Source organism: Homo sapiens, chromosome 2 (assembly GCF_000001405.40).
Source record: "Homo sapiens chromosome 2, GRCh38.p14 Primary Assembly".
NCBI classification, from domain to species: Eukaryota; Metazoa; Chordata; class Mammalia; order Primates; family Hominidae; genus Homo; species Homo sapiens.
The window spans coordinates 234,307,338-234,330,511 of record NC_000002.12 but is presented as its reverse complement, the minus strand read 5'-3'; the positions used below and the strand labels follow the sequence as shown (position 1 = coordinate 234,330,511).

Sequence of the window (23,174 nt, the reverse complement as noted above, 5' to 3'; positions counted from 1 at the left end):
AGGACAGGACACCTGGTACTGTTGTCCATTTAGACTATGGACCTGACTCTGAGTGATTCGGGCCTTCTCCTGAATCCTGACCTCTGAGCTGATTCTGCCACAAACCTGCAGGGTAAAATGAAATAACAAAACATCAGCAACACACACACACACATGCACATGCACACGCACAACAAAATGAAAAACTTGTCTAAGATTTAAGATAAAAAAAAATATTGTTTAGCCAGGCATGGTGTTGCTCCCTGGGCAACAGAGTGAGACTCCGTCTCAAAAAAAAAAAAAAAATTGTCACTCATCAATGTGTGATGACTAAGTAACATTCACACTTAATTTCTGGGCTTGGGTGAAGGGCCAAGAAGCACTGGACCTATTCAATGAACCTTAATTTCTTATTGTGAGTAGGCACCATCTCAGCCTTATGAACAGGCTGCAATTTATCTGATGGAGAGATTATTTCTTAGAAGCATGACTAACTGGTGATTTTGGTATGATCCATGTTTTTTGGGAAAACCAGGGTCAAGAAAATAGTTGAATGGTCACACGCAGTGGTCCTAGGGTACTGCCTACACCTGCTATTCCAGGAATTTCATTTGCTCATTGTGAAGTCTCTCTAATTCTTTTTCCTTTTTTTTTTTTTAAACAACTGGTAATGAATTTATTTAAGATAGTTGACTTAAGCAACTGCAATGGTGACTTCCACCTCAACTCCTGGCTCATTACTGATGGAAGTCATCTGCCTAACAATCTCAGAAGGACTGTGCAAGTCAATGAGTCGCTTGTGGATTCCCATCTGGAAACCATCCCATGTCGTAGAACCTTCACCACAAGGAGTTTTTCTTGTAGTGATTCTCAAAGTCTTGCTAGGCATTCCAACTGGTCCTTTCACTTTGAGATTCTTTTCCTGTGCTCCTCTGACCAAGTCAGCACACACCTTTTCGAGGGATTTTACATTGCGGCTTGTTAGAGTGATTCAAATTGGGTGAATTGCCACCTCCAGCTCCACAGGTGTTTTTCCACCTTAAAAGCCATGGCTGCTGCGCGGCTTCCTGGCCAACTTGTTCCTCAGCGAGAGCAAACAGCGGTGAGTCAGGAACAGGAGTGTGTGGATCAGCGACTATTTCAAGAGGGTTGTCTCAGCAGTGGTGGAGAACAATGTAGGCTCAGTGTCACCTACACCTGCTGTCTCCCTGCCTTCCTCCTGGGACCGGTGCTGTGAGCTGTCACTGGGGCAGAGCCTGGAAGCTGCTGTTGTTGCAGGGGGTCCCGGGGTCGGCTGCTCTTAGCCTATGCCTACAGTGCCTGGGTTGAGGCTGCCAGTGCCTGGGCCTGAGACCTCCTGTAAGACAATGTCCTCCATCCCTGCAGATGTCACAGACACCAGAGCAGGGCTCTGTGCCTCTGGGCCATGCGGCCACCCCTTAACAGGACAATGCCCTGTTGGGGGCTCTGGGGATTTCATGATCAATAAACGCAGTCCCTCCCTTAAGGGCCTAGCAGGATCAATTGGCATAATCTGTGCTTTCACACAAACAGAGGGAGCACCCACCCCAGTTTTGTGGGTTCAAGGATCCCCAGGAGAGAGCCTGAGCTGCAAACATTGGGCTCAAGTTGTCCAGGTGAAAGATAGAAAGAGGAGCGCCCCGCTGCAGAGACGCAGGTGAGGCCGGTCCCTGTCCTGCACTCACCTCTCCTCACGAGGCAGGCCAAGTCCCAGCGGCAGGGCTCTGGCTGAGCTGAGGGGCGGACTGTGCTCAAAACAGCAGTTTCCCTCTGGGCCCTGGACTAAGGGGTACCCCCTGGCTCCCCGGCCTTCCCTGAGGGCCCTCAGTCCGCTGTGCAAACAGCCCCATAGTGCTCTCTGCAGGAGCTCCTGGAATACCAGGTCCACTGCCTTGGGGGTTCCCCGGCTGAGTCCAGCCCTCTGCAGGTCCCCAGTGCCCCTCCCTCCAGAGCGCACTTGTTAATATACACAGCACACAGGTAGGAAAGTCCTGTGTAAGGAGTTCTGGCTCGATATTTTTCTTAATGTAGACTTTGCATCTTTATTAAAACATCTTTTATCAACATCTTCCAATTTCACCATTTTCCCCCAGGCTTGCTTTTATGAGAGTAAAATCAGAGACACTCATACCCCGTGGCCTTCCTTGCACACTTGATCTTCTCTGGCAGTGACTGGCATCATCATTGACCCTCTACACATGCCAGGAAATGGGACTGTCCTGGCATCCAGTTTCCACCTCCAAGGATCCTCACGGGCAACACTATTGTGATTTTGGTCCTGATAATTGGTGGGGATGGTCTGTGCATTGCAGGTGTGTTGAACGGCTCCCCTGGCCTCTACCTACCAAGTGCCAGCAGCACTTCTCTCTGGTTGTGACAACCAAAAATTTCTCCAGAATCTGGAGGGTTCAGTCACCCCCAATTGAGATGCACTGCATGATCTTTATCTTCTAGATCTGTTCACTTTTCTTTAATGCCACCTTCACCACTCCATCAGGTGCCCTCGCTGGCAGCTCCATTTCCAGTCTCATCCCCTCTATATCTTATTTGCTATCCCTTCTGTAGCCATGTTCATTTTTCTTTTTTTTTCTGAGATGGAGTCTTGCTCTGTCACCCAGGCTGGAGTGCAGTGGCATGATCTCTGCTCACTGCAACCTCCGCCTCCTGGTTTCAAACCATTCTCCTGCCTCAGCCTCCAGAGTAGCTGGGACTACAGCATGTGCTACCACGCCCGGCTAATTTTTTGTATTTTTAGTAGAGATGGGGTTTCACCGTGTTAGCCAGGATGATCTGTTCATTTTTCTAACCTTGTCCGATCGTGTCACCTTTTGCTTAAAATGTTTCAGTAGGTTCTCATTGCCCCTAAGTCAAAGGACCATATCATTTGCACAGACCCAAAACCACACGTGGTGAGACACCACATCCCCCTGGCTTCGTCGTGCCCCCTGCCCTTCATGCTCATGGTCTTTGAGCATCAGGTGCTCTTGTTCTCAGGCTCTTCCTTCATGTGGAAGGCTCTCCTCTCTCCTGTTTATCATTTAATTTAGTTGACAGGATGGAGAATGTGACTTCATTCCCTAGCATCATCCTTATTCCTGCACTCTGCACCCAGGGCCTTTTTTTTTTTTTTTTCCTTTTTTTGAGACACGGTCTCACTCTGTCACTCAGGCTGGAGTGCAGTGGCATGATCTTGGCTCACTGCAACCTGAACCTCCTAGGTTCAAGCGATTCTTCTGCCTCAGCCTCCCAAGTAGCTGGGATTACAGGCACTGACCACCACACCCAGCAACTTTTTTTTTTTTTTTTGTATTTTTAGTAGAGATGGGGTTTTACCATGTTGGTCAGGCTAGTCTCAAACTCCCGACCTCAAGCAATCCACTGGCCTTGGCCTCCCAAAGTGCTGGAATGACAGGCGTGAGCCACCACACCAGGCCTGCACCCAGGGCTTTTCTACCCCAGCACCGTTCACATTATTGTGGGTGGAGGGGGAGGCAGAGAGAGAAGGCAGGATTCTCCAATGAAACATGCTTGCGAGCTGTTGAAGCACCATGCTGTGTGCAATGGCTCATGCCTGTAATCCCAGCTACTCAGGAGGCTGAGGTGGGATCATATGAGCCCAGGAATTCAAGACCAGTCTGGGCAACATAGTGAGTCCCTGTCTATAAAAGAAAAAAAGTTCATCCAGGGTCATTTCCAAACAAATGGCCTTTGTTTGCAAATCTTCACAGGTTAATTTGGTTTCAGTCCAGATACAAGTTTGGAAGAAGAGAAATGCTAATTTTGTCTGAATTGCTAAGAAGGAAGCAGTCTTCAAAGTCACAGACTGATGAAGTTATAAGTAACCAATGAGCAGAAGGTGGGCCCTTAAGGGGCAAGCAGGCTGCACCTGAACGAGACACCCGACAAGACACACCTGAGCAGGCTCTGGGCTCCATGGTTGGAGTGATGGGGCAGCTGATCCCCACCCAAGCCATGGCACCTGGTGTCCTAGGTCGATCCGGTGCATTCAAGGACTTAATTATAATTTTTAATATTTTTCTTAAAACATATTTATTGTTCCTTTATTGTATAACTACATATTTATGGCCCCAAATTTGAAAATAACACAAAATAGAAGCAAATTAAAATCACTTATAATTTTGCCTCACAGAGTATCTGTTGACAATTTGGTTCATTTCCTTTAAAAAAATATTAGGCGTATATGCTCCATATTGTTCCATAGTCTGTTTTTGCGCTTAAGCTTTCATTTCAGCATTTCCCATTGCCATTTCTGAGTCCTTGAAAACATGATTTTCATGAATGCACTGTCCCACCTTAAGGATGGAATTGAATGGTCTTGGGGCACTGAAATTGCGACAAAGATTTAGAGCTTTAGCATTCATAAGGAATTAAGCTCTTCTCCCTTGTCAGAATTGTTTAGGAATGTGTTTAAAGTTTTGCAAATTATTTTTGCTTTGTTTTGCTTAAATTTTAGCTATAATTTATAATTTAATTGCAAAGTTTATAAAACATCCTATACAATGAGGCCTTTTTTTTGTAATACTAGATGTTCTTATGCTCTGTTTAATAGTCACTTTTGAAAATATTCTTTAGTTGCTTGAAAAGAAGGTACATTTTTTTTTTGTTTTGAGGCTCTAAATTTGTTTTTAGGTTATGCCCTAGTTGGCCATATTATTATCCAAATTTTCTATGCTTCTTAAAGTTTTCTATACATTCCTTGACTTGCAAAGGAAAACTTTTGGTCTATTAAAAATTTCCTACCACAAAATTTTGTGTGTGTGTGAATTTCTTCTGAGATTTTAAACTGTACCTGCTTTAAATATGTCAATGCTGTATAATTTGGCACATAAAGATTCATGAATGTTGTAATTTCATCATGACTATATTTTTACTAACATGAAACGATCTTTTCTGTTTATTTTCTCTTGCACATTGTTTTGTCTGATGTCATGTTTTAAACTCCTGATTTATTTTACTTATGTATGTCTAATTTATCTTTGTTCATCTTTTAAAATAATCTATTTTGGGGCCAGACACAGTGTTCACGCCTGTAATCCCAGCACTTTGGGAGACCGAGGTGGGCAGATCACTTGAGGCCAGGAGTTTGAGACAAGCCTGGCCAACATGGTGAAACTACGTTTCTACTAAAAATACGAAAATTACCCGGGCATAGTGGCATGAGCCTGTAATTCCAGATACTCGGGAGGCTGAGGCATGAGAATCACTTGAACCAGGGAGGTGGAAGTTGCAGTGAGCCAAGATCATGCCACAGCACTCCAGCCTCGGTGACAGACAGAGCAAGACTGTTTCAAAAAAAAAGAAAAAAATCTATTTTTTCCTTTTGTTTTCAGTCAGTCTCAATGACACACACTTACATTTCCCTTTCAATCCAGACTTAGAGTCTCTGAAAAGGAGACTTTAACTGTTTTGTTTGCTGTCTCAAAAAATATGTTTGCTGTTACTTTTGCCATCTTATTTTTCTGCTCTGTATCTTTTTAATGGATGTTTGATTTTTCTGTTATTTTCTGTCTTTTGCTCTATAGACTACATTTTACTTTCTTTCTACAATTTGGAAGATATATATTCTATTTTTAATTGTACTAATATTATCTGTAAGTTATAAGATTCTTCACCATCTGTCCAAAACCTGACATCTCTTGACTGGCTTCATATCTGCTAAAATGATATCCCTAGACCGCATTTAGAATCACTCTGTAGTCACCTAACACTTTTGAGCTGGGCTATAGAAATGTCTAGCACATGCCCCACGATCCCCTCAGTGTTCACTCTGTTGCTGACAGAATTCTCAGATCTTTAGCAGGAGAGAGGACCATTAGCCACATTTCTGGTGTTTATCAGTGTGGAGTCTCCTCTTGCCCCTTCTGCCTGGAAAAGAAAAGTATTTTAATGACCAAGGACCTCTGGTTGCTTCGCTTGGGGGGTGCACTCTTTAAGAAATACAGATTAGCAGGACTGTTGTGGTTGGGGTTAAAGAAGTGGCCCTCTTTGCCTAGGGATGCAACTCTATCTTGCTTGGAGTTTGGTACTCAGCTTCTCCTGGGCACTTGTGAGGTGCCTCTGCGATGGGCTTGGCTCCGTCTTTTCTGACCTCGGTGCTCTGCCTCAAAGCCGCATTGTGCATCAGCTAATGAGAGTTTCTCAATCTGTCCTCATCTGCACTGCTATTGGCAGAAATCCTTCCTAGACTGTGGCCAAGCATTAATTGGTATTCTTAGCTTCTGGTGCAGTTGCAATTTTGCAATTTTGCATGTGCCTTCAATGGGGTTTTAATGGGAGGATGGGAGCGGATGAATCAGGCAATCAGGCACCTGCTATGAGCCACCATATTAATCTGGGAGTCTGCAAGTTTGGCTCTGAATGACAGAAAGAGAACCATGGTGCTTTCAGTGTTATATAAAGCTCATGGCTCTCATTTCAGCTGATTCCATAGTCCAGGGTTTCCTAAATAATGTGTTGAAAAGAAAGAGATAATAAAACATGCCACATTTTTTTAAAAGCAGGGGAGAAAGAGGGATTCCGTGGTCAACCAAACTGGAGAAATCGTACACTCTACGCCTCTCACACATTCAAATTAAAACCTGGTGTGTTCAAAACCGGAAGTGTCCTGCAGCAAAAAAATAAGAAAAAAGAAAAAGAAAAAGAAAACTGGTGTAACACTGTTCAGACCATCACATCTCAGTACTTGACTTTGAAACCTTTTTGGTAAGGTCCCTGGGAAGGTCTAACAGAATTGGTGTCTTCCCAAAGTACAGTGGGGGGATCAATGGTCAGTGTGGGCATAAGAGAGTCTGGGAGAGAGGGCAACTCTGCTTCTCCAGCCCCTGCCCAGGTTTCACCAAATCCTGGAGGTGCCAGACAGACTAACTAAGGACACATGGCTTGACCATTCTTTGATATTATTCACTTTACTTAGATCTTCAGAAAACAAAATGCCTGGACCATATTTTTTTAACTTTCCATGGAGCCAATGCTACTGATTTATAATTAACAATGTATTTTTAAGCTTCATAGAGAATGAATTCGGTAAGCTTTTATTTACATGGCATCCCTATGTCTTATATAAAACAGCAAGTGAAGGTGATATTAGTGCTACTCCATATCCAAGAATAATCATTAGAGATGTATTTCATCAGAAGTGTAGTTTTATTATGAATGCAGGTTAATGTGTCTGATTTTACTTTCTGGGTATCATCTGTGTTTTGCTTTTAGCCTTGGTTACCAGGAAACTCAGAAACAAATATGGTATCCTGTTTCCAAGACACTTTCTCAGTGCTACCTGGAAATGTGAGCTTTCTTTGTTCATTTTGCATAATCTCTGAATTTTTAAGTCTTTAATCCTCCTATGCTTCTTTATTTCTTATATCACTGAAAATTCCTTTAGAATTAAATAGGAGTTAGAGATTCTTGATCTTAATGTATTGAACAGGCAGTTAAAGAGCAATTAGTGATAAACAACTTGATTCATAAAAAGGAAGTCAAGAAAATTTTAGCATTTCCCAGTATAAACACTGAAAATATGTCCCTAGCATCTGACGCATGAAACAACATCACGAACAGTAATGTTGACAGAGAAAAAGAATCCACTAAATCTAATGTTTCAGTGTCAGTAAAATCTTGAATTATCCTGAATTAACACACTGAGACCCAAGATTATCCTGATATTGATTTACTTTTATTTTCATAACTGCAGCCAGTTGTATTATTACTTTTTTCTTTTTCAGAAAATTTCAAACATACCCCAAAATTAAAAACTATAATACATCAATGTGCCCATTACCCGTTTCAGCTTCAATGATTATCACCATTTAAAAAATCTTGTCTCACATTGCCCTAGTCTACATTTTAAAAAATTTTAAAGCAAATCTCAAGAATCATTTTTTATATGTGTATATAGGGCTCTAACAGGTAAGGACTTTTCTTTTTAGCATAACAACCATGACATTATCACACCTTAAAAAGTTAACAATAAATTTTTTTTTTTTTTTTGAAACAGAGTTTTGCTCTTGTCGCCCAGGCTGGTGTGCAATGGCGCAGTCTCGGCTCACTGCAACCTCTGCCTACTGTGTTCAAGCGATTCTTCTGCCTCAGCCTACCGAGTAGCCGGAACTACAGGTGCCCACGACCACACCTGGCTAATTTTTTTTATGCATATTTAGTAGACATGGGGTTTCACCTTGTTTGCCAGGCTGGTCTCGAACTCCTGACCTCAGGTGATTCACCAACCTTGGCCTCCCAAAGTGCTAGGATTACAGGTGTGAGCCACTGCGCCTAGCCTACAATACTTTTTAATATTATACCTATTTCATAATCAAATGTCCCCAGTGTTCTCAAGAATCTCTTTTGATAGCTAGTATCTTCAAATTAGATTCCTCATAAGGTTTACACACTGCATTTTTTGTTATTTAGAGATATTCTTAAGTATCATTCTACTATTTGGGATGAGGTATGTAAGGATGTAAAGGTATTTTTCTTAACTATAAAACTTCTTTGAAAATCCCACAGAATACACCATAAAATAGTTTCTCTTTCGTAATAAATATTTAAATCAAATACCTAAATAAAAATCCTAACACTACCAAAAATTATTCACTGTCTTCATTTTCATAAGTAAACATAGTACCCACTAAATTTCATATTCTGCTCTTATTCCTTGATGTTATACCAATACCATTTCCATGTTGATAGATTCTTTAAAATTATTATTTTAAACAGGTGCATGTTATTTTTCTGTCTTGACCACTGTTGCTTTAGCCAGTTTTTAGCATTTGTTAAATCCATTGCATGCATTGAAAGGGCGAATCCTAATCACAGTTGGAAATTTTTGCCCTCATCCTCCTTTAATCCTATATTTGACATTGCCTATGGGTCTATGAAGGAAAGGAAGAAGAAAACAGACAGAGAAGGAAGAGGAATAGAGAAAAGGTGGAGGTTTGGCTGAGATGCATTCAAAATACTTGTTTTTCTTCCATCCTCTTGGAAGGGCTAGTCCTTGGAATTCATGTGCTCTTCCTCCTCCGAGAATAGTTGTAGTTATAGAAGGGGCCAAAATGTGCTGGCTCTGTGTGTTCATAATAAACCTGGAATGTCAGTTTCCAGTCATCAGATAACTGATGTGAACCCTGCCTTACCATGCCAAGGAGGAGCCTCCTGCTCTATCCCCATTGCTCCTGCTCTATCCCCTTTGGTGATGAATTGGTGTTGGGTATGGAGTTCTGGAAAACCGAAAGAAAGTCAATGTTTTTAATGTGCAACATGTGCAGTATCTCATTTATCAATTAGACATCCTAGAATAACCTTGTGCTCAATGACTGGTCTTGCCAGGTTATGGTATTCAGGGAAAAACACCATCACCTCATTTGCTGTGGCAAATAAAAAGGAATATTGACAAAGACCATAATCTGGGTGCCTCTTGTGGTGACAACTATAATCAATAAAATTTAGATAACATTATCTTTTATTGTTATTAAAGAAAAATTTTCCAGGAGCATTTTGTGCATTTAGTTTTTTTTTTGGTCAAAATTTTTCTCTAGGATTAATTTTTAGGAACAGGATTATTGGTTCTCAAGTTGAATATTTTTTTAGATAACATTATCTTTTATTGTTATTAAAGAAGAATTTTCCAGGAGCATTTTGTGCGTTTAGTTTTTTTTTGGTCAAAATTTTTCTCTAGGATTTTTAGGAACAGGATTTTTGGTTCTCAAATTGAATATTTTTTAGAAAGAGAGAAAAGGAGATGGAAAGAGAAGTTTATGTTGTTTTTTCAGAAGAATAATACTAATCACCAAGACCATAAACATAAATACAAGTCTCAGGTACACCAGCCATTGAGGTTTTAGACAGCATGAATACAGAAGTTTGGAGAGAAACACAGAAAATGGTTTTGTCACACCGAGGGCCTAAAATGAAACCTCTCAAATACATCTCCCTAATCCATTTCAATAGGAAGAACCATAGCAATAGAATCAGTTAAGCTAAGGATTCAATTGGGAGGGACCTATGCAGTTGAAGCCTCCGGAGATGGGTCCAGGTGTAGAGAGACCAGTAGATTGCAGGTCCACATCAAGGAGTGGCTCAGAATTCTTGCATCTTAATATTTTGAATCTGCAAAATATAGCCCAGCTAGAAAAGCCTTGGAAGTCACTTGGTGATATCACTTTTATTTCTAAAGCAACAATGAACAGTATTACTTGCAATATCAGCATAATTAGCCAACATAATTAAGATGCCCATTAACAAGGAAGACAGCTGGCACGTTTTGCATTCAGATTGACATGATTCCAGCCATAAGCATAATGGATGTTTGTTCAGTAATATGGAGCTATGTTGCAAAATCTGTGAGACGATGCTTATCTGACAGCTATAGGAAGTGCAAAGTCAAGTATAAGAAAAAAAAAATATGTTCCAGACAGTAGCAGATGTTCTTCGATCAAGTATTGCTGTGAAAAACTGTGGTAGAAGAATCAACTGATAAAATAGCAGAGGCTAGTTCAGCGGCTTACATGAAGATGAAGAAGAGGAGGAAGAGGAAAAAGAGGAAGACAAAGGAAGAGAAGAAGGAGGAGGAGGGAGGAGGAAAACAACAAGAACAACAACAACATTGGGAGGCCGAGGCAGGCAGATCTCCTGAGGTCAGGAGTTCAAGACCAGCCTGGCCAACATGGTGAAACCCCATCTCTACTAAAAATACAAAAAATTAGCTGGGTGTGGTGGTGCGCGCCTGTAATCCGAACTGCTCGGGAGGCTGAGGCAGGAGAATTGCTTGAACCTGGGAGGTAGCAGTTGCAGTGAGCCAAGATCATACCATTGCACTCCAGCCTGGGAAACAAGAGTGAAACTCCATCTCACAAAAAAAAGAAAAAACAAAAAACAAAAAAAAACACAACAAAACAAACCCTCTGGGCTGAGCTCAATCTCCCCATCTTTAGTGGGGGGCTGAGGTCGCATTGTCCTGAAGTTGGGGCCCTACATGTAGTTCTAGGCTGTGTGTTGCACAATGGTAGACGCAGGTATGTTTTTCCAGAAGGCAATTTTATGGCTGGGGGACAGATTTGAAGTATTACTATCAAATAAATAAGCCAGGCCGGGTGAGGTGGCTGACGCCTGTAATCCCAGCACTTTGGGAGGCCGAGGTGGGTGGATCACCTGAGGTCAGGAGTTCGAGACCAGCCTGATCAACATGGTGAAACCTCATCTCTACTAATAATACAAAAATCAGCCAGGCGTGGTGGCAGGCACCTGTAGTCCCAGCTACTCAAGAGGCTGAGGTAGGAGAATTGCTTGAACCCGGGAGGAGGAGGTTGCAGTGAGTCGAGATCGCACCACTGCACTCAAGCCTGGGAGACAGAGTGAGACTCCATCTCAAAAAAAGAAAAAAAAAGAGGCTGGGCACAGTGGCTCAAGCTTGTAATCCCAACAATTTGGGAGGCTGAGGCGGGTGGATCATGAGGTCAGGAGTTTGAGACCAGCCTGGCCAACATGGAGAAATCCCATCTCTACCAAAAATACAAAAATTAGCCAGGCGTGGTGGCATGGTCCTGTAATCCCAGCTACTCGGGAGGTTGAGGCAGAAGAATCGCTTGAAACCAGGAAGCGGAGGTTGCAGTGAGCTGGGATCGTGCCACTGCACTCCAGCCTGGGAGACAGAGCAAGACTCCATCTCAAAAAAAGAAAAAAAAGAAATGAGCCAGAAGAAGAAAATAACGAGATAACAAAAAAAGGAAGAAAGCAATTAAGAGTGAAGAATATGACTGGAAGGAGGAAGAGGCACCCTAATCATTAATTAGCCCAGCTGGGTTCTCAGATCCCGGTTGCTCCCTGAAGAGGTGAAAATATTGCCCCAAACCAAACCCTCTCCACCACCACTACCATTTCATGTCATGTGGAATTTTGGCAGACTTCTCAGTGAATAATCAAGAATCTCACAGAACTGGCATTCAAACCCAGCCATTTATGCAGTCTGGCAATTGTCCCCATTTCCTGGTCTCCTCTGCCTTCTCCGTGTCACCCTGTCTTGCAGCTCGGCCCCTTCCTTCAGGAACTTGGTCACACCAATGCTTTTGAGTGCTGTAGATTTTTCTGGAGGTGTCAGGGGGTGTCACAGGGGGAAGAGTCACTTTGGTACATGTTTTTTTTTCTTTCTTTCTTTTTTTTTTTTTTTTTTGAGAGAGAATTTTTCTCTTGTTGCCCAGGCTGGAGTGCAGTGATACAGTCTCGGCTCACCACAATCTCTGTCTCCCAGGTTCAAGCAATTCTCCTGCCTCGGCCTCCTGAGTAAATGAGATTACAGGTGTGCGCCACCATGCCTGGCTAATTTTTGTATTATTAGAAGAGACGGGGTTTCTCCATGTTGGTCAGGCTGGACTCGAACTCCTGACCTCAGGTGATCCACCCATCTCGGCCTCCCAAAGTACTGGGATTACAGGCGTGAGCCACCGTGCCCTGCCCAGCACAAATTTTTTTTTTACCATGCCCAATACTTTGTCATCTTTCTGGGCCTTCTTTTCTTTCTTTCTCTCCCTTATCACTTCCTGTCCTTTTCCTCCAGTATAGATCAAAAACTTCAAATTCTTCTTTATTTCTGGAAAGCAGTCAACCCTGCCCCACTCCACCTACAACGCTGTACATCCAAACTCAGCAAAGTGCTCTGCTCACCTGGGTCTTCCCGATTGCCAGGAGCAGTCTCCTTAGAGGCTGTCTTAGTCTGTTCTGGCATCCAGAACAAAGTTTCCCAGACTGGGTGCTGTAAAAACAACAGGGATCTATTTTTCACAGTTCCGGAAACTGGACATCTAGATCAGAATAACAGCATAGTCAAATTCTGGTGAGGACCTTTTCTGGGTTGGGACTGCCAGCTTCTCCATGTGTCCTCACATGCACAAAGAAGGCTGGAGAGCTTTTTGAAGTCTCTTTTATAAGGGCACCAAGGCCAGGCGCAGTGGCTCATGCCTGTAATCCCAGCACTTTGGGAGGCTGAGACAGGGGGATGATGAGGTCAGGAGATTGAGACCATCCTGGTTAACATGGTGAAACCCCATCCCTGCTAAAAACACACACACACACACACACACACAAAATTAGCCAGTCATGGTAGCGCACACCTGTAGTTTCAGCTACTTGAGAGGCTGAGGCAGGAGAATCGCTTGAACCCAGGAGTCGGAGGTTGCAGTGAGGTGAGATCACCACTGCACTCCAGCCTGGGCAACACAGTGAGACTCCATCTCAAAAAAAAAATAAAAAAATAAAAAAACAAATAAGGGCACTAACCCCAGCATGAGGTCTCTACCCTCATGATGTAATCACTTCCCAAAGGCCCTGGCTTTTGTTTTTTTGTTTTTGTTTTTTTTTTGACGGAGTCTCGCTCTGTTGCCAGGCTGAAGTGCAGTGGCACGATCTCGGCTCACTGCAACCTCTGCCTCCCGGGTCCAAGTGATTCTCCTCCCTCAGCCTCCTGAGTAGCTGGGATTACAGGCATGTGCCAACACACCCAGTGATTTTTTGTATTTTTAGTAGAGACGGGGTTTCACCATGTTGGCCAGGATGCTCTTGATCTCTTGACCTTGTGATCTGCCTGCCTCGGCCTCCCAAAGTGCTGGGGTTACAGGCGTGAGCCACTGTGCGCAGGCCTGGCTTTGGTTTTGCCTCTGCTATCCCTGATTCCCTGTAACTGGGACCACTAGCACCCTGTACTACAGAATTGGTTCTGCTCCCATTCTGAGTTTGTGGGAGTCAAGGAACATGTCAACATGCCTGATCACATCTCCCTCGTCATATTGACATGCCATTAGAAAGAAGTCACCTCCCCAGGCCTGGGACCTAAGAGTCCTTTGGCAACCACCTGGGTTCTATATCATTTTCCTAGTGTCCCTTTGTGATGGTATCTCTGTCTACCTAATTCCTCAAGCCAGAAAACGGAAGTGGGGGTGGGGAATCACCTTTTCGGTTTCCTTTCCCTTTTTTTTTTTTTTTTTTTTGAGATGGAGTCTCGCTCTGTCGCCCAGGCTGGAGTGCAGTGGCACGATCTCGGCTCACTGCAAGCTCCACCTCCCAGGTTCACACCATTCTCCTGCCTCTGCCTCCCGAGTAGCTGGGACTACAGGTGCCCACCACCACGCCCGGCTAATTTTTTGTATTTTTAGTAGAGACGGGGTTTCACTGTGTTAGCCAGGATGGTCTCGATCTCCTGACCTCGTGATCCGCCTGCCTCGGCCTCCCAAAGTGCTGGTATTATAGGCGTGAGCCACCGCGTCCGGCCCTCGGTTTCCTTTTCTTTAGGATTCTGCCCTCCATAAAAGGAAATACCTGGTCAAGTCTCTCTCTGGGACATATCTCCAACATGCCTGCATTTCTTCATCCTCAGGCACTACCCTGGTTCATCTCTCACCAAGATTACGATTGTCTTTCAGTTGATTTGACTTATAAATGGATCTTCCCATTTATCTCAGCATAACATACAATTCGATCTTTTAAATAAATACAAATCCTATCTCACAATCGCACTACAAGATACATATCCAAAGGAAATAAAATCAGTATGTCAAAGAGATGTCTGCACTTTCGTGTTTATTGCAGCACTATTCATGTAGCCAAGATATGGAATCAACCTATGTTTCATCAACAGAAAGAAAATGTTATATATATATATATATATATATATATATATATATATATATACACACACACAATAAAATAATACTATTCAACCATAAAACTAGTGAAATCTTGTCATTTGGGGCAACATGGATGAACCCGGAGGATGTTAAGTGAAATAAGTCAGGCTCAGAGAGCTAAATACTGCATGCTCTCACGCATATGAGAAATCTAAAAATACTGCTCTCATAGAAGCATAAAATAGAGAGTGGTTACTAGAGGCTGGGGAGGGTGGGGAAGATGGGGGATGGAGAGAGACTCATCAGTGGGTACAAGGTGACAGACAGGAGGAAAAAGTTCTGGTGTTCCATAGCACATTAGGGTGACTGGTTAACAATATTATATTGCATATTTTAAAATAGCTAGAAGAGAAGATTCTGAGTGTTCTCACCATGAAGATATCATAAATGTATGAGGTGATAAATATGCCAAATACAGATTGAGCATTTCTAATCCAAAAATTTGAAATCTAGGCCAGGTGTGGTGGCTCATGCCTGTAATCCCAGCACTTTGGGAGGTGGAGGCAAGCAGATTGCTTGAGCCCAGGAGTACAAGATCAGCCCGGGCATCATAACAAAACCTTGTCTCTACAAAATATAAAAAATTAGCTGGGCATGGTGGCACGTGCCTATGGTCCCAGCTACTTGGAAAGCTGAGGTGGGAGGATCACTTGAGCCCAGGAGGTTGAGACTGCAGTGAGCCATGACTGTGCCACTGCACTACAACCTGGGCAACAGAGCAAGATTCTGACTCAAGAAATAAAATAAAATAAAATAAAATAAAATAAAAAATCTAAGTGTGAAATACTTCAAAATCCAAAACGTTTTGAGTGCTGACATGATACCACAAGTGAAAAATTCCACACATAAGTGTTCAACACAAACTTTGTTTCATACACAAAATTAATAAAAATATTGTATTTCATTATCTTCAGGTTATGTGTATAAGGTGTTTATAAAACATAAATGAAGTTTGTGTTTAGACTTGTTAGACTTGGATTCCACCCCCAAGATATCTCATTATGTAAATTAAAATGTTCCAAAATTAAAAAACAAAATTGAAATCAGAAACACTTCTGGTTCTAAGCATTTTGGATAAGGGATACTCAACCTGTAGCCAGATTTAATCATTACACAATAGATATACTAAAACATCACACTGTACCCCATGAGTATGTACAATTATTAAGTGTCCATTTAAAATAAATAAATTAAATGCAAATCTGATCATGTTAATCTTCTGATTTCCCCTTCTATGTTTTCCTATTGATTTTAGGAAGTGTGACTTCGTATTTGATGCTCCTTTTGGCGCCAGACCTCTTCCTAAGCTATAGGAATATGGCTTGACAATTTCACTTCCTTCAGACCTTTGCTCAGCTATCCCCTGACCACCCTGTATAAAGCTGCAGTACACATACTCTTTGCCTCCTTATTCTCCTTGCTATTCCTCTACAGCATTCATCACCATCTGGTTCAATCCCTTCCTACCAGGGTAAGCTCCATGAACTAGGGAACTTGTATGTTCTGTTCATTGCTCTAGTCTCAGTACCTGGAACAACACATGTCACATGATAGGCACACAACAAATATTTAATGAATATTGAATTAAATCAGGTTTTGTTAGTAAGTGGTGGACTCAGGATTTAGATTCAAGCAATCTGACCCCAGAAATCTTAATATTTATAAGTAATGAACTTCCATGTACCAGGCAATATGGTACAATGAACTTCAAGTGAAAACACAAAATACATTATGGAATCACACTCATGGTGGAAGCTAGTAACAGGTCACAAGTAATCCACACGAGACCATGTAGACACACATGAGGCAAGTAGTAACTTGTAAAGTCATTATGTAGCATTTATAGATGACAATTTTATACACCACCAAAAGAAAACACAATTCAGTCAAAACCCAGGCAATATTTTTGCAAATCACCAGATAACGTCATGTGGTGAGTGCTTTAAGGAGCAAAACGAAACAATGAGGTTTTGGGGAGAAGAGACTGGTAAAACCCTAGCAAGCAAATGTTCAACCATAGCAAAACAAAGGGGAATGTGGTTGTTTGCATGTCCCATAGACAGAGGCAGAGGGTGGGGATCCACAGGGTGCCCCAACATCCCACTGGTGAAAAGAAAGAGAAAAGGGCAGGGCTCTACCCTTCTTCAGTCTAACAGGTTGGCCTGGAGCCGGGCCTGAGCAAGTCACCTCAGCAGCCTCCGGAAATAGAAATGCCATGGGAGGAATCCTGCCCAGTCTCCACCTCAATGTAGTGGCTCCTCACCCCTAAGATGCAAGGTGCAGGCACTTCCACAGCAGAAGAATCCATTAAAGAGGCTGGGTTTGAGAAAATGAACACAAATCAGTGGCTACAAAATATAACAAGGCTTGATTTATAAAAACAGCCTAAATGTCAGTGTAACAAGGAAAAGGAAGGTCGCTGGTGGGAGAAAGGAAGGATCCCCCTCAGTGGGAAGGTGCCACAAAGCCCAAAGATTCCAATGGAATCATCTAGAACCTTTGAGGAACCCCAGCCTCCTGCCTAGGATGGCCCAGGGAGAAGGGAGGGGATCAGGATTGAGGAGGACAGCATTGAGGGATTCTCCGTTATTTTTTTGTGTTTTTTTTGTTTTGTTTTGTTTTGTCTGAGTACTCCTAATTTTTCTACATAATTTATAACAAGAAAATTTTCAACTATTTATTTTTAAGGACAAAAAACATGTAGGGAATAAAGGAAAATTGATAAATAAACCCCAAAGCTGGTTATCTGAGAGTTGGTCAAAGATATTTTGGCAAAGCTCATTGAGAAATATCACACATGAAAATCAGAAATTAGGCTGGGTGCAGAGGCTCATGCCTATAATCCCAGCACTTTGGGAGGCCGAGGCAGGCAGATCACCTGAGGTCAGAAGTTCAAGACCACCCTGGCCAACATGGCGAAACCCTGTCTCTACTAAAAATACAAAAATTAGCCGGGCATGATGGTGGGCACCTGTAACCCCAGCTACTCAGAAGGGTGAGGCAGGAGAATTGCTTGAACCTGGGAGGCGGAGGTTGCAGTGAGTTGAGATTGCTCCATTGCACTCCAGCCTGGGCGACAGAGCGAGTCTCGGTCACGAAAAGAAAAAAAAGAAAGAAAAAGAAAATCAGAAATTAAAAAGATAAGGATACTAAACTACATGAGACCAGGCATGACAATACACCCACAAACTATAAACTATCAATAAGAAGATATTTTTTCTTGCCCATGTATTAAATAAAAATTGTTGTTGCAAGTAAAAACTTGGATACATTTATAACAATGTAAAAAATTACAAAACAAAAATCAAACCATAAAATATAAAACTTAAGCATTACTTTCTTCTCAAATCCCTGACCCGGGGAGAAGGGAGGAGATCAGGATTAAGGAGGAGAGCATTGAGGGAGTCTGCAGGTTTTTTTGTCTGAGTACTCCTAATTTTTCTACATAATTTATAACCAGAAAATTTTCAACTATTTATTTTTAAAGACAAAAAACATATAGGGAATAAAGGAGAATTGATAAATAAACCCCAAAGCTGGCTATCTGAGAGTTGGTCAGAGATATCTTGGTAAAGCTCATTGAGAAAAATTATACATGAAAATCAGAAATTAGGCTGCGTGCATGATCCCAGCACATTGGGAGGCCGAGGCAGGCAGATCACCTGAGGTCAGGAGTTCAAGACCACCCTGGCCAACATGGCGAAATCCTGTCTCTACTAAAACTACAAAAATTAGCCTGGAGAAGGGAGGGGATCAGAAAAATGCCACAAGTCATTTTTGCTATGAAGTCTCCGAACTCTAGCTAGGTTTAATGGTGCAACATCTGCATATTTGTATTTGTCTGTTTTCTTGCTGCTGATAAAGACATACCTGAGACTGGGCAATTTACAAAAGAAAGAGGTTTAATTGGACTTATAGTTCCGCATGGCTGGGGAGGCCTCACAATCATGGCAGAAGATTTCACTGGGAAATTCATTAAAGCTTTCGAGGAAAAGAGACTTTCCATATTTTATAAACTCTTCCAGATAACAAAGAAAATTATAATATCATTTTTAATGTAAATAATCTATTTTTTTAATATCAGCAACTTTGGCAAAGACAGCATGTTATTAATAAAATTGCAGACATCCTAAATAAAACACTTGAAAATAAATTCATAGATATGTTACAATATTTCAGTATGTCATTGAAGGCTTATTCCAAGAAGACAGAGTAATATTAATATAATGGTAGGAAATCTATTAATGCATACTTTAAAATACAAAATAAAAAAAAATAGATGCTGAAGAAGTATTTAATAAAGCTTAACTATCATTGTTATTTTTAAAAACCCTCTTAACTAGATATTATAGGATGACATCTTATACCAACGAGACAATATTATACTTTAAGAGAGAAAAGTTGAAAGCGGCTGGGCATGGTGGCTCTTGCCTGTAATCCCAGCACTTTAGGAGGCTGAGGCGGGTGGATCACCTAAGGTCGGGAGTTCGAGACCAGCCTGACCAACATGTAGAAACCCCGTCTCTACTAAAAATACAAAATTAGCTGGGTGTGGTGGTGTGTACCTGTAATCCCAGCTACTTGGGAGGCTGAGGCAGGAGAATTGCTTGAACCCAGGAGGCAGAGGTTGCAGTGAGCCAAGGTCACACCATTGCACTCCAGCCTGGGCAACAAGAGTGAAACTCCATCTCAAAAAGAAAGAAAGAAAAGAAAAGTTGAAAGCATTTCCAATAAATTCCGAAATACCTGCCATTTCCTATTGTCTAATGTAGCTCTAAAAGTTCGGGGCAATGAAATAAGTCCAGAAACAGCAATACAAGGTATAACTTTTTAAGTCAAGAAGACAAAATGATCTATATTTGCCTGTGATATGATATTTAATTTGTGACTCTAGGAAACTTTAATTACAAATTAAAAACTATTAAGACTAATAGAAGAACCCATTAAAAAGAGACGAGGTTTAAGTTAATGAACACAAATCAATGGTTATAAAACAGCCTAAATCGAGTTCCTCAAGGCAGGTGGCTGATCAACATGGACTAGAAAGGGCTCCTTGCTGGGCCTTCACAAAGGAGAGTGATGGTCAGAGGCTGGAAGACTGATGTTGCTGCTTCACAGTAGATATGGGCCAAGACATTATAAACTGTCATATTCTGAAAGTGTTGTGTGTTCCGAAGCCTTCTCTCTGTTGATGATTACTGTTACCCTCTGTTGGTGTCTCCATAGAGATTATTGCTTAAAAAAAAATAAGAAAGCCGACCTGCGGGTTAGTCTTAAGAAGGTGTGTCACTTGCTTCCTAGAGTCCCAGCCCCAGAGGAGTGGTTGGTGCAGCGCCATCTGGACCATGCAGCCACCACAGCGAGTTGGGGGTGACAATTTGAGTCTAAGGGAGTGATCCTGGGAGCTCAGCAGGAGAAAAGCCCAGGAGTTGTTCCTGGATATATTGCTTGCAAATCTCCAGGCAAGCTCAGCTGTTTCAGCGGATGAGTGTTTCCTGACGTGTGGGCACCTGCTGCTGGTTCTGTCCCCTTTCTCCAGTGTCCTTTAGAGTGTGCCTGGGGATAGAAGCAGTGTTATTTCTCCCTTGGCTTCAAGCAGGAAAAATATTCTCATACAGTGTTGTCTGAAAGAGTGATTTTCAAAATTGTGGGTCATGACTCGATAGAGGATAGAGAATCTGTGTAGTGGATTTTGAGAAACTTTTTAAAAAATACAACTAATGGAAGAGAAGATAAAATGCCGAAGGACTTCACACGCAGTAAGGGCATGCGCTGTTTTGTGGCATTTCGGTTTCCTGGTTTGGGAAGAAGAAGCAGATGGTCTACACCACTGGAAGGCACAACTCCATAGACAAGGGGTTCCTGGACAAAAAGTTGATAGTAGCACCAGAAAGGTAGAAGCAGAAAGCAAACACATCCCACACACCTGGAGGCACCGAGGCAAGAGCTGTTCAGGTCATGGCCTTGGTGTAATCCTTGCCTTCTCTTTTCTCTCATGCTCTACATGTAAACCATATACAAAATTTGTCAGCTTGACCTGCACTCTATATCCAGATTCCAATCACTTCTCACCATTTACTCTGCAAAGTGGCAGCTGGAATATTTATATGGTTTGGCTGTGTCCCCACCCAAATCTCATCTTGACTGTAACTCCCACAATTCCCATAAGGGGAGGTGATCGAACTATGGGGGTGGGGGGCGGTCTTTCCTGAGCTGTTCTCATGATGGTGAATGAGTCTCATGAGATCTGATGGTTTTAAAAATGGGAGTTTCCCTGCACAAATTCTCTTTCTTTGCCTGCTGCCATCCACGTAAGACGTGACTTGCTTTTCCTTGCCTTCCGCCATGATTGTGAGGCCTCCCCACCCATGTGGAACTATAAGTCCAATTAAACCTCTTTCTTTTGTAAATTGCTCACTCTCAGGTATATCTTTATCAGCAGCATGAAAACAGACTAATACAAATATGCAGATGTTGCACCATTAAACCTAGCTAGAGTTTGGAGACTTCATAGCAAGGACGACTTGTGGCATTTTTCTGGTTATTTGCCATTAAATTGTGAGCCAGTGAACTGAAAGGCAGCACACTTAAAAGAGTCATTTTATCCACTGTTCTCTTTCATTTAACTGACGATCTCCTCTTTCTCCCTGTGATGCTGTAAACCCCATGTCTTTTGTGAAACTGGCTCTGTAATCAGACCATGGCCCATCCAGCCTTGAAGCTCTCTCCTGCTTACAGATGGGGTTTTGACATTATGCCTTTGGGTTTTGTGGCACAGAGATTTCCACTTCTTCCTCATGAGCCCAAGCAAGCGTGAGCTGTCTCAGCTACTTGGAGATTGACGTCAATCTTTCCGCATGAGCCAGGGGAAGCTGCCTCATTTGTTTGCCCTGTGGCTTCTCTACTTTTCAAAAAAGGGAAATCAGTTCTTCTCTGAGTCATGTTATATTTTTTGTGACCGATAGTAAACCTCTGAGAAATATCTCTAGACGTTACACAGTTCAAATCAGTCACTTATAAAATTAAGCATTATGCTCTCTCTCCTTCTGAAAAGTCCAGACAAAGAGCATCAGATTTCAGAGAAGAATCTGCTCTTCAGAACAAGGGCTAACCTTGCATGTGCAGTTGTCAGGTAAAGATAGATCAGCCCTACTCACATGGCTGTAACCATCCACAATTTGGTTTCTCTGTGCAAGTTCCTCTGGTTAAGAAGCCTGGGATACCCAGGGAGATGCTGGGTGATGGGCTTGCACACAGTATCGTTGGCGGCTTCCTAAGATGTCAGGCTGAGCATATCCATGTTTCGATTTTGGTGTCAGCCATCAGTTGCTTTTAGGCTTACAGCAATTCTCTATTTTATGAACTCAAACAAAATTACAGAAGGAAAGCTGTCAATTACTTTTCTTTACTTTCTGAATTAGAGTGTCCATCCCTAGTCCTCCACCAGACACCACTGTAGGCAAACAAAGCATCTTACAAATGATGCATCATCAAGATGCACAGGGAATTTTTTTTTTTTAAGAACTACAGGAAAAAAATCAGTCACATGTTTAGCATTTTCCCTGGAACAAATTTATTTTGCTGTTACAGTGGTCGGTGGCCTGCGGTGTCTGTCCTTGGTATTTGGACAAGGAGATGCCTGCTCAGTGACTAAGCTGGGGTTCTCCACATCAGCAAGGCCCTCACTCAGGATTGGCCATGGATATGGACCGACCCCACTGCACCTTTAGAGTCCAACAGCTTTCCTTCGCAAGATGGCCCACTGGAGGTGAAGGTGGATTCTGTTGCCCTGGATCCCAGGAAGTTAACTTGTTCCTATGTGAGTCAAACCTTGGGTCTGATCTCAATTGTTTCCAACCATAAGCAATTGGTCTAGTGTTCGATGCAGGGCATGCTCAGAGCTGTCTGGTTATTTGTCCACACCTTGCTTGGCACATGTGTTATTTTGGAGAAAACTTCCTTTCTGCCTGAGAAGCAGGCAATGAAAGGGAGCCTCCACTGGTAGACAAGACTCTCATTCTCAGGCTTTGCTAACCTCCAAGGCAGAGTTTGTGCCTTGTTTCTCTGAACCCGAATGGCACCTATTGAGTTCCTTTTTTATAGCACCCGTTAAGTTCCTCTCAAGTTCTCTAACTCTAACCCTAACTCTAGTAGCATATATCACTTACCTTATTGTAACTGTTGCTTCCTCATTACATTGTAAGTTACTTGCAGGTGGATATTTAGTGTTAATTCATGTTGGTATCCCCAAGCTTAACATAGTAGCCACTTGTATCAGTTACCTCTTGCTGTGTAACAAATTATCCCAAACTCAGTACCTTAAGACAATGAGCACTTATTATTGTGGCTTATGTGTCAGTGGATCAGCTGAGGGTTGGCTGCTGAGCTGTACTGAACTTGACTGACCTCAGCTGGGTTCATTCGTGCATTTGGGGGATCATCTGGGGTCACTGCTCTAGCCTGGGCTTGGCTGGTAGAATTTAGCTG

At 42.3% G+C, this 23,174-nt stretch overlaps 1 pseudogene, besides 1 other annotated feature; it reads right to left on the bottom strand.

The window, feature by feature from the left end:
• On the bottom strand, positions 639 to 1,110 carry RPS20P12 (ribosomal protein S20 pseudogene 12; annotated as a pseudogene).
• Positions 21,330 to 21,469: an enhancer, noted in NCBI's record as "active region_17353". NCBI's record gives its function as "activates an Ori minimal core promoter by ATAC-STARR-seq in GM12878 lymphoblastoid cells {active_cell/tissue: GM12878}" and the evidence as "EXISTENCE:reporter gene assay evidence [ECO:0000049][PMID:35858748]".